The following is a 12354-nucleotide window of genomic DNA, read 5'->3' as shown; positions in this document are numbered from 1 at the left end:
AGCAAGGCTGTTAGTTGGCTTCCTTGGTTGCTCCTGACAACCGCACAGGTGCACTCTGGGAGTTGTAGTCCCACTTCCCTAAACAAATTTCAGCTCTGCCACAGAGAGGAGTCAGTGAAAGGACTGGGGGAGAGCTGGGGCTGATTCTGCGACCCTGTGAAAGGTCACTCAACTCGGAAATTGAAGACTCACAGGGCTCTGTTTTATTTTGTTTTTGTTTTTAAAGAGAGCAGTAATTAGTTTTAATAAAAAGGTTTTAGAAGAAATGCATTTGGCTAATTTTTTAAAAATACATTTATTTTAGAACAGTTTTAGAGTTTAGAAAAGTTGAGAAGACAGTACAGAGAGTTCCCATATACCTCACATCCACATTCTCCTATTTTATTATTATTATTATCATTATCATGTTTTTGAGACAGGGTCTTCACTCTGTCACCCAGGCTGGTGGGCAGTGGCAGGATCACACCTCACTGCAGTCTCAACCTCCCAGGCTCAAGGGATTCTTCCACCTCAGCCTTCCAAGTAGCTGAGACACAGGCGTGCACTACCATGCCTGGCTAATTTTTGTATGTTTTGTAGAGATGGGGTTTCACCATGTTGCCCAGACTGGTCTTGAACTCTTGGGCTCGGCTTGGCCTCCCAAAGTGCTGGGATTACAGGTGTGAGCCACTGCATTCACATTCCCCTATTATTAACATCTTACATTAGTATGGTACATTTGTCACAAATAATGACCAATATTGATACATTATTATTAACTAAAATCCACATTTTATTCAGATTTACTAGTTGTTTTAACCTAATATCTTATTTCTGTTCCGGACCCCATCCAGGATGCCACGTTACACTTAGCTGTTGCATCTCCTCTGGTGCCTCCTGACTGTGACAGTTTCTCAGACTTTCCATGTTTTTGATGACCTTGACAGTTTAAGTAATAATGGTCAGGTGTTTTGTAGAATGTCCTGCAATTGGAATTTGTTTGGTGTTTTTCTTTTTGTTTGTTTGTTTTTGTTTTTTGAGATGGAGTCTCACTCCATCGCCCAGGCTGGAGTGCAGTGGCACAATTTCAGCTCACTGCAACCTCTGCCTCCCGGGTTCCAGCGATTCTCCTGCCTCAGCCTCCCAAGTAGCTGAGATTACAGGCATGTGCCACCATGCCCGGCTAATTTTTGTTATTTTTACTAGAGACGGGGTTTCACCATGTTGGCCAGGCTGGTCTCAAACTCCTGACCTCAAGTGATCCACCCACCTCAGCCTCCCAAAGTGTTGGGATTACAGGCGTGAGCCACCGCGCCAGCCCTCCTTCCCCACTTGCTGTATTGCACTCTTTGGAAGGCAGTCACTGTGCGGCCCACCCTTACAGTGAGGGAGTTATGCTCCACCTCTCTGAGTACAGCAGAGCCCTGTTTTCCATGCACATCCCAAATCCAACTGGTCACCAAGCTCAGTCCATTCTGCTTCCTAGACAACCTCTCAAGCCCAGCTCCTCTGCTCTTCCTCCTCATAATCAGGGCCCAGCTCTGGATTCATCTTTCAGCAAGACCACAACAACTTCCTCGCGGGCCTGCCTGCCTTGTCTCTGTTCTGCAAAGCCCACACTCCTCATTACTTCGAGTGAACTCCAAACTGCTTACCATGGCACACAGGCCCTCTGTGATCTGGTGCCTCCCTTTCCACCTGAGCTCTCACCACTGCCCTACACGCACCCACTGCTTGTCAGAATGGACTGCAGTGCCTGCCACTGCCCAAACCAGCCATCCCCTCTCCTCATTCACCTCTGCTGCTACCTCTGCTCAGAACCTCCCACCCCACCCACCACAGACCCTCGCCTCAACCCAGCTAACTTCTATTTGTTTTTTCTTCTTAGGAAGAAAAAGAGCAGCATTAGAACATTCCTTGTTGAAGGAATATTGCCCCGATGTGCCCCTCCCTACCTGTTTGTAATTCTCTTGCTTTTCTTTAGAGCTTTACTCCATATGCCTGTACCCAGTGGTGTGCTGTTTTGTGGCATTTGCCAGTTCTTCCCAAGCCAGTACAAGCCAGCTCCAGTGCCACACTGCAAATATCCACAGCAACATATTTACCTTTTCATATTTTTGAACTTTATATAAATGGTATCATTTATACAAATGGTAGGTATTTGTGTGTGTGACTTATTGTCACAGGCTGTATAGTACTCTCTGTTGATGAACATTTGGGTATATGCGCCCACTTTGCAAGGCAATGCCAAAGTTTTCTGGTGTGGTTTTCTAATTTACGCTGGCAACAGCAGTGTATCAGTTTCTTTTGCTTCATATCCTTACCAACTCTTTTTTTTTTTTAAGACAGGGTCTCCCTCTATTGCCCAGGCTGGAGTGCAGTGGTGCGATCATGGCTCAACCTCCTGCAGCCTCGACTTCCTGGGCTTAAGCAATCCTCCTGCCTCAGCCTCGCAAGTAGCTGGAAACCCAGGCACACACCACCACATCAGGCTAATTTTTAAATTTTTTGTAGAGACGAGGTCTTGCCATATTGTGCAAACAGGTCTTGAACTCATGGGCTCAAGTGATCCTTCCATCTCAGCTTCCCAAAGTGCTGGGATTATGGACATGAGCCAACACTCCTGGCCCTCACCAACTCTTGATGTCAAGTTTTAAAACGTTTGCCAATATAGTAGGCATAAAGTGGCATCTCATTGTGGATTTTAATTTGCATTTCTTGGTTGAGTATCTTTTCATACTTATTGGCCATTTGTTTTTCCTCATTGTGAAACACCTATTTATGTTTTTGCCCATTTTTTTCTATTTGACTATCCTTTTTACAAACTGACAGGCCGGGCATAGTGGCTCATGCCTGTAATCCCAGCACTTGGGGAGGCCGAGGTGGATGGATCACCTGAGGTCAGGAGTACAAGACCAGCCTGACCAACATGGAGAAACCCCATCTCTACTAAAAATACAAAATTAGCTGGACATGGTGGCGCATGCCTGTAATCCCAGCTACTTGGGAGGCTGAGGCAGAAGAATAGCTTGAACCTGGGAGGCAGAGGTTGCGGTGAGCAGAGATTGTGCCACTTCACTCCAGCCTGGGCAACAAGAACGAAACTCCGTCTCAAAAAAAAAAAAAAAAAAAAAAACTGACTAGTGGCTTTTTATGTTTTTTGAAAACAAACTCTTTGTTGATAATATGAAATACGAATCCTTTCTTCAACTTGAAGCTTTTTTCACCTTTTTAAAAGTCAAATGTATCAATCTTTTCCTTTCTGGTTACACGTTTTGTGTGTGTCTAGTTTAAGAAATATTTCCTTATGTGAGGGCATAAAGATCTTCACCTATATGATCTTCCGAAAGTCCATTTCACATTTAAATATTTAACACACCTAGAGTTTATTTTTTTGTATATGGAGCAAGATAGTATCTTTTCTGAAAGATATCCAACTGCTCAGATCATTTATTTAATTGTCCATTGTCTTCCCACCGATCTGTACTGACTGCTGTGTTAGATATGAAATTTCCACATATGCATGGGTTGGTGTCTGGAACTACTGTCCATTGGTCTATCACTGGGGCAATGTGTTGCTAGAAGAGCTGAGGCAAGTCTTGCTTGTCTGACATAACGTAAGAGAGTCTTGGAACATGTCCTGGGTCCAGGGTCTAAAACCCCTCGTGGCCTTTGGAACACCAAGCTCTGTGCCAAAGGGTGGAAGGCTGCCCTGCCACACCACAATCTAAGCCCAGGGCATAAAACCCCTCGTGGCTTGGATGCAATCCAGGGCTCAGGGAATAAAACCCCTTGTGGCCTCTGGAATGTGTCCAGACTTGCTGGCTCCTTGCTTCTTGCTGTCCCAGGTTTGTAAATTGATTGTTATCTTGAGATAGAAAAACACGTTCTCCATTATCTCGAGTAGCAGAGCATACTCCATATGCTTAAAAGAAAATGCTAAACTGCCACAGCTATAGGTCAAACGCTTGATGCACCGCTTCCTTTCTAACCCCATGTCCTCACGTCCTCACCACCTGCTTCTGTTTGATCACCAATAAAGAGCGTGGGCTCCCAGAGCTCAGGGCCTTCGCAGCTGCCATACTGGTGTTGGCCCCCTGGACCCACTTTATGCATTCTTGTCTTGTCTCATTCCTTCGACTCTGCCAGACTTTGTAGCCCCCACAGCCTGGTGTTGGGTCTGATCACTCCAACATTTCTGGCACCCAATGTGGGGCAACGAAAACCCCTGTGAAGGAACGCTAGAGCATGCGGAAGCAGAGGACAATTGTCAGAGGACACCAGAGGATGACTGAAAGAAGCTCGGCAGGTAAGCTGGACGCTTGGAAGAACCAGGGTAACAATGGGACAGAATGAAAGCAAATATTCTGCTTATTTAAATTTCTTAAGGCATTTATTACGGAGAGGGGGAGTGAAAGTTAGTACTCAAAGTCTATTAACACTTTTCAGCACAGTAGAGCAGTTCTGCCCATGGCTTCCGGAACAAGGGACTATGGAGTTGGATGAATGGGAAAGAACTGGCAGAGATTTTAAAAAGGCATATAAAGATGGAGCCAAAATTCCAGTTTCTGTTTGGTCAGTGTGGGCGTTAATAAAGGCAGCTCCTGAGCCATTTCAAACAGATGATGAGGCAGATTCAGATGAAGAAGAGGAGGATGAGTGTAAGAAACTAACATCAGATTCTGAACGCGAGGCACAGGAGCCGGAGGAAATCATAGAAAAGAAAGGAAAGCTGAAAAAGACATATTTTACTGGTCCATCAGCTCCGCCTGCTGAATTAAGTGAATGGCCACCTCCTCCCTCTCCCACAATGGGTGAGAAAGTGAAGCAGCTGTAAAAATTACTGCTCCTGTAGTGACAACATTAAAATCTGAAGCAACTGGTGGTGCTATACAAAATTCTATTCAGAAGGCTAGAGCTGAAGGACACCTTGAAGCATGGCAATTTCCAGTTACTATAACCCAACAAGGAGGACAGAATACAGCTAATTGGGCCACTTTTCCTTTTAAGTTATTAAAAGAATTCAAGCAAGCCATTAGTCAATATGGGCCAAATTCTCCTTTTGTGTGAACTTTACTAAAAAATGTGGCTCTTGATAATAGGTTAGTACCATATGATTGGGATACTTTAACAAAATCTGTTCTCACTCTGTCTCAGTACTTGCAATTTAAAACTTGGTGGGCTAATGAAGCTCAAACTCAGGCAAGAGAAAACACACAGGCACAGCCGCCTGTGCCTGTGTCCTCTGAACAGTTAATGGGGGTCAGCCCTAACAGGGGTCGATTAGACAATCAAGCATTAATGGAGGATGTTGCCATTGCTCAGTTATGCTCTGTATGCTTAAGGGCATGGGAAAGAATAAATGTTATAGAGGAAAAATATCCATCTTTCAGTTCTGTCTGACAAGGAACCATATACTGATTTTATTGCTCGGCTCCAGGAGGCTGTGTATAAAGCCATAACTGACAAAACAACCTCAAGATGTTGTAATAAAGCTTCTTGCATACGATAATGCCAATGCAGAATGTCAAACTGCTATTCGACCTAGGAGAGGGAAGCCTCATTTGGCTGAGTATATTAAGGCTTGTGATGGCATTGGGGGTAACTTACATGAGGCTACTCTTTTAGCTCAGGCTATGGCTGGATTAAAAGCCGGAAAAAATATGCCTCGTTTCTCGGGTTCTTGTTTTAATTGTGGGCAATTTGGACACACAAAAAAGGAATGTAAAAAAGGAAATCAACAGGCAAAGGTTACTACCAGTAAGCAGCAAAAAAAGTTCCGGTATCTGCCCCCGATGTAAAAAGGGAAATCACTGGGCAAATCAGTGTCATTCTAAATTTAGCAAAGATGGACAAACTCTCTTTTGGGCCCCTCAACAAACCGAGGCGTATCTGGCACAGCCAGTGCCCTTACAAACGTACAATTGTCCCCCGCCACAGCAGGCGGTGCTGCCGTAGACCTCTGCAGCACAAGTCCTGTCTCCCTACTTCCTGGGGAGCCACCAAAGAAGGTCCCCACGGGAGTTAGGGGCCCTTTACCCTCAGGATCAGCTGGTCTATTGCTTGGAAGGGCTAGTTTAAATTTAAGAGGTGCCACTGTACATACAGGAATAATTGATTCTGATTATACCGGAGAAATTCAACTAGTTATCAGTTCCTCAACTCCATGGTCTGCTTCCCCAGGAGAAAGAATTGCTCAGTTGTTACTTCTACCTTATACAAAACTGGGAAGCAGCATAGTAAAAGGAATGGGAGGCTTTGGTAGTACAAATCCAGCAGGAAAGGCTGTCTATTGGGTTAATCAAGTGTCTGACAAAAGACCTATTTGTACAGTAACGATTCGAGGTAAAGACTTTGAGGGACTAGTAGATACTGGAGATGATGTTTCTATTATTGCTTTAGATCAATGGTGCCAGCATTGGCCCAAACAAAAGGCATCCTTAGTATTGTTGGAGTAGGAGCTGCCTCAGAAGTGTTTCAAAGTTCCTTAATTCTGCCATGTCAAGGGCCAGATGGTCAGGAAGGGACTTATTCCAACAACGGGGTGCTGAAATATCTATTCCTATGGATCAATATAGTAATAACAATAAACAAATGATGAAAAAAATGGGATATCTCCCGGGGAAAGGACTAGCAAAAAATGAAAATGGACAACCAGAACCTTTAGAACTAAAAGGTTAAACAGAGCAAACTGGATCGGGGTATCATTTTTAGGAGCGGCCATTGTCGAGCCTCTGGCACCCATTCCTCTTGTTTGGCTAACTGCCAAACTGGTTTGGGTGGAGCAATGGCCACTGAAACGGGAAAAACTGGAGGCTTTAAAAGAATTGGTGCAAGAACAATTGCAAAAGGGACACATAGAGCCTACTTTCTCTTCTTGGAATTCTCCTATGTTTGTCATTAAGAAAAAATCAGGGAAATGGAAAATGTTAACAGACTTGAGGGCCGTTAATGCTGTAATTCAACTCATGGGCGCGCTGCAACCAGGGCTGCCCTCCCCAACTACGATTCCTAAATACTGGCCTCTCATAGTGATAGATTTAAAAGGTTGCTTTTTTACCATTCCTTTAGCGACCCAAGATTATGAAAAATTTGCTTTTACTGTTCCCGTCATAAATAACAAAGAATCAGCAGATAGATACTATTGGAACGTATTTCCACAAGGCATGTTAAATAGCCCAACTATTTGTCCAACTTATGTTGTTAAAGTTTTTATGCCAGTTAGAAAACAGTTTAAAAAATGTTATATCATCCGTTACATGGATAATATCTTATGTGCAGCTGAAACTAGGGAGGAATGAATACTATGCTACAAACAGAAAAGGCTGTAACTGCTGCAGGATTAATCACAGCCCCCGATAAAATCCAAACTTCCACTCTATTTCAATATTTAGGAAGGAAAGTAAAACAAAGTACTATTAAGCCTCAAAAGGTTCAAATTCAAAGAGATAATTTAAAAACTCTAAATGAGGCCGGGCGTGGTGGCTCACGCCTGTAATCCCAGCACTTTGGGAGGCTGAGGTGGGTGGATCACAAGGTCAGGAGATGGAGACCATCCTGGCTAACACGGTGAAACCCTGTCTCTACTAAAAATACAAAAAATTAGCCAGGCGTGGTGGCAGGCACCTGTAGTCCCAGCTACTAGGGAGGCTGAGGCAGGAGAATGGCATGAACCCAGGAGGCGGAGCTTGCAGTGAGCCGAGATTGCACCACCGCACTCCAGCCTGGGTGACAGAGCGAGACTCTGTCTCAAAAAAAAAAAAAAAAAAAAAAAAAACCTCTAAATGATTTTCAAAAATTATTCCCACTTTAGGCATTCCTACTTATGCTATGTCTCACCTCTTTTCTAACTTATGAGGTGATTCTGATCTTAACAGCAAATGCTCTCTATCCAAAGAAGCATTGTAAGAACTTCAATTAATTGAAGAAAAAATTCATCAGGCACAAGTGACTTGAATTGATCTACTACAGCCATTACAGTTTTTCATTTTTCCTACTAAACATTCAACTACAGGTGTTACTGTTCAACAGGATGATCTAGCTGAGTGGCTTTTTCTACCTCACAATACAACTAGAACACTTACTCTGTACTTAGATCAAATTGCTGTACTGATAGGTCAAGCAAGGCTGTATACAACAAAATTAATGGGATATGATCCAAATCAAATTATAGTTCCTTTAAATAAACAACAAATTCAGCAAGCTTATGTTAACTCCCAGAAATGGCAAGTTAATTTAGCTGGTTTTATTGGTATACTTGATAATCATTATCCTAAATCCAAAATATTCCAATTTCTAAAATTGACATCATGGATATTACCCTCCACTACTCAAAAGACCCCTATTGAAGGGGCCAATACTGTTTTTACTGATGGATCTAGTAATGGAAAGGCCTCATTTGTAGGACCTCAACAACAAGTTGTTCAAACTGACTTTGCTTCTGCTCAAAGGGCTGAACTTATGGCTGTAATTACAGTACTAAAAACCTTTAAACAGCCAGTAAACATTATTTCTGATTCGGCCTATGTGATGCAAGCTGTGCAAAATATTGAATGTGCCTTAATTGAAAATGTAACTGATGATCAACTCAATCTTTTATTTCATTCTTTACAACAAGCAGTACAACAAAGGCATTCCCCTTTGTATATCACTCATATAAGAGCACATACTAACCTCCCCGTCCCTTTAACCAAACTCAATCAAAGGGCAGATGCACTGGTTTCTGCAGCTTTTACTGATACACAAACATTCCATTCTTTAACCCATCCTAATGCTGCAGGCCTTGGAAACAGATATGGCTTATCTTGGAAACAGGCTAAGGAAATTGTACAACATTGCTCTGCCTGCCAAGTCTTACACCTGCCACATCAAGGAACAGGAGTTAACCCTAGAGGTTTATCTCCAAATTCCATCTGGCAGAGGGATGTAACACATGTTCCTGCCTTTGGAAAGTTGTCCTTTGTTCATGTTTCAGTAGATACTTACTCACATTTTATTTGGGCCACATGTCAAACAGGAGAAGCTACAGCTCATGTTAAAAGACATCTTTTACCTTGCTTTGCAGTTATGGGAATCCCAGAAAAAATCAAAACTGATAACGGCCCAGGGTACTGTAGTAAAGCTATGGCTACATTTTTTTCAACAGTGGAATATTACCCATACTACAGGTATTCCATATAACTCACAAGGACAAGCAATAGTTGAAAGAGCTAATCATGCTTTAAAAACTCAAATACAAAAACAAAAAGGGGGAGACCAGGAATATAAAACACCGCATATGCAATTACACTTAGCTTTATTAATATTACATTTTCTAAATTTACAAAAAGATCAATCCATGACTGCAGCTGAACAACACTTGACAGGACAAAAGGAAAACAAAAAGGCCAGACAAGATATATGATGGAGAGATACTCACACAAAAAACTGGGAAAAAGGAAAGATAATTACGTGGGGAAGAGGATTTGCTTGTGTCTCTCCAGGTGAAAATCAGGTACCTGTGTGGGTGCCCATCAAACATCTGAAGATCTATCATGAGCCACACCAGGAAGAGAGGACTCTGGGAAGAGCCAGAGCTCCCAATACGAGTGATGGCGTGAATGAACATCTCAGAGACAAAAGAGAAGACCGAGAATACTCGTCAGGCGGATCCTCCAACATGGGGACAAATCAAGAAGCTGGCGCAGATGGCAGAGGACAGCTTGAGAGCACAGAACAAACCAAAAACAACTAGTAACTTAATGGTGGCCATGCTGGCAGTACTCACTGTGGCGATAAGCCTCCCTACTGTAGGAGCAACTCAAAATTTTACTTATTGGGCATATGTCCCATTTCCTCCTTTAATTAGGTCTGTGAGTTGGATGGACCCGGTTATTGAGGTGTACACCAACAACAGTACCTGGATGCCTGAGCCCATAGATAATCAAGGCCAATGCATTCTAATGAGGAAGGGATGAAAATGAATATATCAATAGGATATAAATATCTTCCAATATGCCTGGGACCTGCCGCTGGATGCTTACAAATTGGCACACAAGTCTGGTTGGCAGTAATCCCTGGAAAAAATAAATCACAGGCTGCTTTACAAATGATTTCAGGGCAAAATTTAACATATAACCATTCCAGCCCTAAAACTCAGCAATTCTGTCCAAACAAGCTCAAATGTAAGAAAAATAAAGTTTGGTTTGAAGGTGTAGATACTTGGACTTGAGAAGATTATATAGCAAGTAAGGCTGAGGTGCTACAAAAGAATTCCTATGGAATTGTCATTGATTGGTCCCCTAAGGGGATTTTTAAACCAAATTGCACAAGAAGGCCCTCTTGTAAAGCAAATTTAACAAACTGATGGAATCGCTGGCAATGTAATCATACACAATACATTCAGATGGAAGCTGATGCCCCTATCATATGGAATCCTGCTGGCATTATCGCCCCTAGTCCAAAAATGATATCTCCTGCCATAGGACAGGAACATTCAGAATTATGAAAATTAGCTGTAGCTCAAAGTCCAATTAAAATTTGGGAGGGTAAATATGAAAAGTACAGTGGGGAGGGAGGTAAGGATAAATATGCTCTTTCTTTTCTTTCCAACAGGACGTTTTGGATTCAAAGTTGCATTCGACCACCTTTTATGTTAGCAATAGGAAATGTTACTATTGATATAAATACACACTCTGTTACCTGCCCAGAATGTCGCCTATTTACCTGCATTAACTCAACTTTTGATAAAAAAAAAAAAAACCACAAAACAAAAAAAACTATTCTGTTAATTAGAGCCAGGGAAGGAGTTTGGATCCCTGTGTCTCTAAATAGACCATGGGAAGCATCACTATTCATATTATAACTGAAATCCTTAGGAAACTTTTATCCCATTCAAAAAGATTTATAGTGGCTCTCACATTTGCTATAATTGGCCTCACTGCTGTTACTACTACTGCTGCAGTAGCTGGTGTAGCTTTACAGTCATCTGTGCAAACTGCTGAATTTGTTGATAAGTGGCAGAAAAATTCCACAAAATTATGGAACTCTCAGCTTCAAACAGATCAAAAAATAGTTAATCAAATTAATGATCTCCATCAGACTGTAATTTGGATGGGGGTTCGTATTATGAGTTTAGAAAATAGAATTCAAATACAATGTGACTGGATACATCTGATTTTTGTATCACTCTCCATAGTTATAATGAAACAGAACACCAATGGGAAAAAGTTAAACACCATTTGGAAAGAAAAGAGGAAAATCTCACCCTCAATATCGTAAAACTAAAAGAGCAGGTTTTTGAAACCTCTCAGGCTCACTTAACCCTGCTCCCTGGAACCGATATTTTGAGCAAGGCAGCTGATGGGTTGTCTGCAGTCAATCCTCTTAAATGGATTAAGGCCACTGGAAGTTCTACATTTGTAAACTTTATTCTAATAATTATGTGCTTGTGCTGTCTCATGTTAGTTGGCAAATGCAGAAGCCACCTCTGGAGAGAAAGCCGCCACCAAGAACAAGCAATGATAGCTGTGGCGGTTTTGCAAAAAAGAAAAGGGAGACATGTTGGTAGAAGGGCTGAGGCAAGACTTGCTTGTCTGACATAATGTAAAAGAGTCTTGGAACTGTCCTGAGTCCAGGGTCTAAAACCCCTCATGGCCTTTGGAACACCAAGCTCTGTGCCAAAGAGTGGAAGGCTGCCCTGCCGCACCACAATCTAAGCTCAGGGCATAAAACCCCTCGTGGCTTGGATGGAATCCAGGGCTGAGGGCATAAAACACCTCATGGCCTCTGGAATGTGTCTAGACTTGCTGGCTCCTTGCTTCTTGCTCTCCCAGGCTCATAAATTGATTGCATCTTGAGGTAGAAAAACATGTTCTCCATTATCTCGAGTAGCAGAGCATATTCCATATGCTTAAAAGAAAATGCTAAACCACCACAGCTATAGGTCAAACGCTTGATGCACTGCTTCCTTTCTACCCCCACATCCTCACGTCCTCACCACCTGCTTCTTTGATCACCAAAAAATAATGTGGGCTTCCAGAGCTCAGGGCCTTCACAGCTGCCATACTGGTGTTGGCCCCCTGGACCCACTTTATGCACTCTTGTCTTGTCTCATTCCTTTGACTCCACCGGACTTCATAACCCCCACGACCTGGTGTTGGGTCTGATCACCCCAGCACAATGCCACACAATATAACCTTCTTTTTCTCTCCCTCTCCCCATTCTTTTTCTTCAGCAGTATCTTCCCTAAGTACTACTCCTTCAGTCAGCCTCTTCTTTGTTGTTGTTTTGAGACAGGGTCTCACTCTGTCACCAAGGTTGGAGCGCAGTGGCATGATGCATGATCACAGCTCACTGCAACCTCCACCTCTTGGATTCAAGTGATCCTCCCACCTC

Source organism: Homo sapiens, chromosome 11 (assembly GCF_000001405.40).
Source record: "Homo sapiens chromosome 11, GRCh38.p14 Primary Assembly".
Classification (NCBI taxonomy): domain Eukaryota; kingdom Metazoa; phylum Chordata; class Mammalia; order Primates; family Hominidae; genus Homo; species Homo sapiens.
This window is presented reverse-complemented; position numbering follows the sequence as displayed.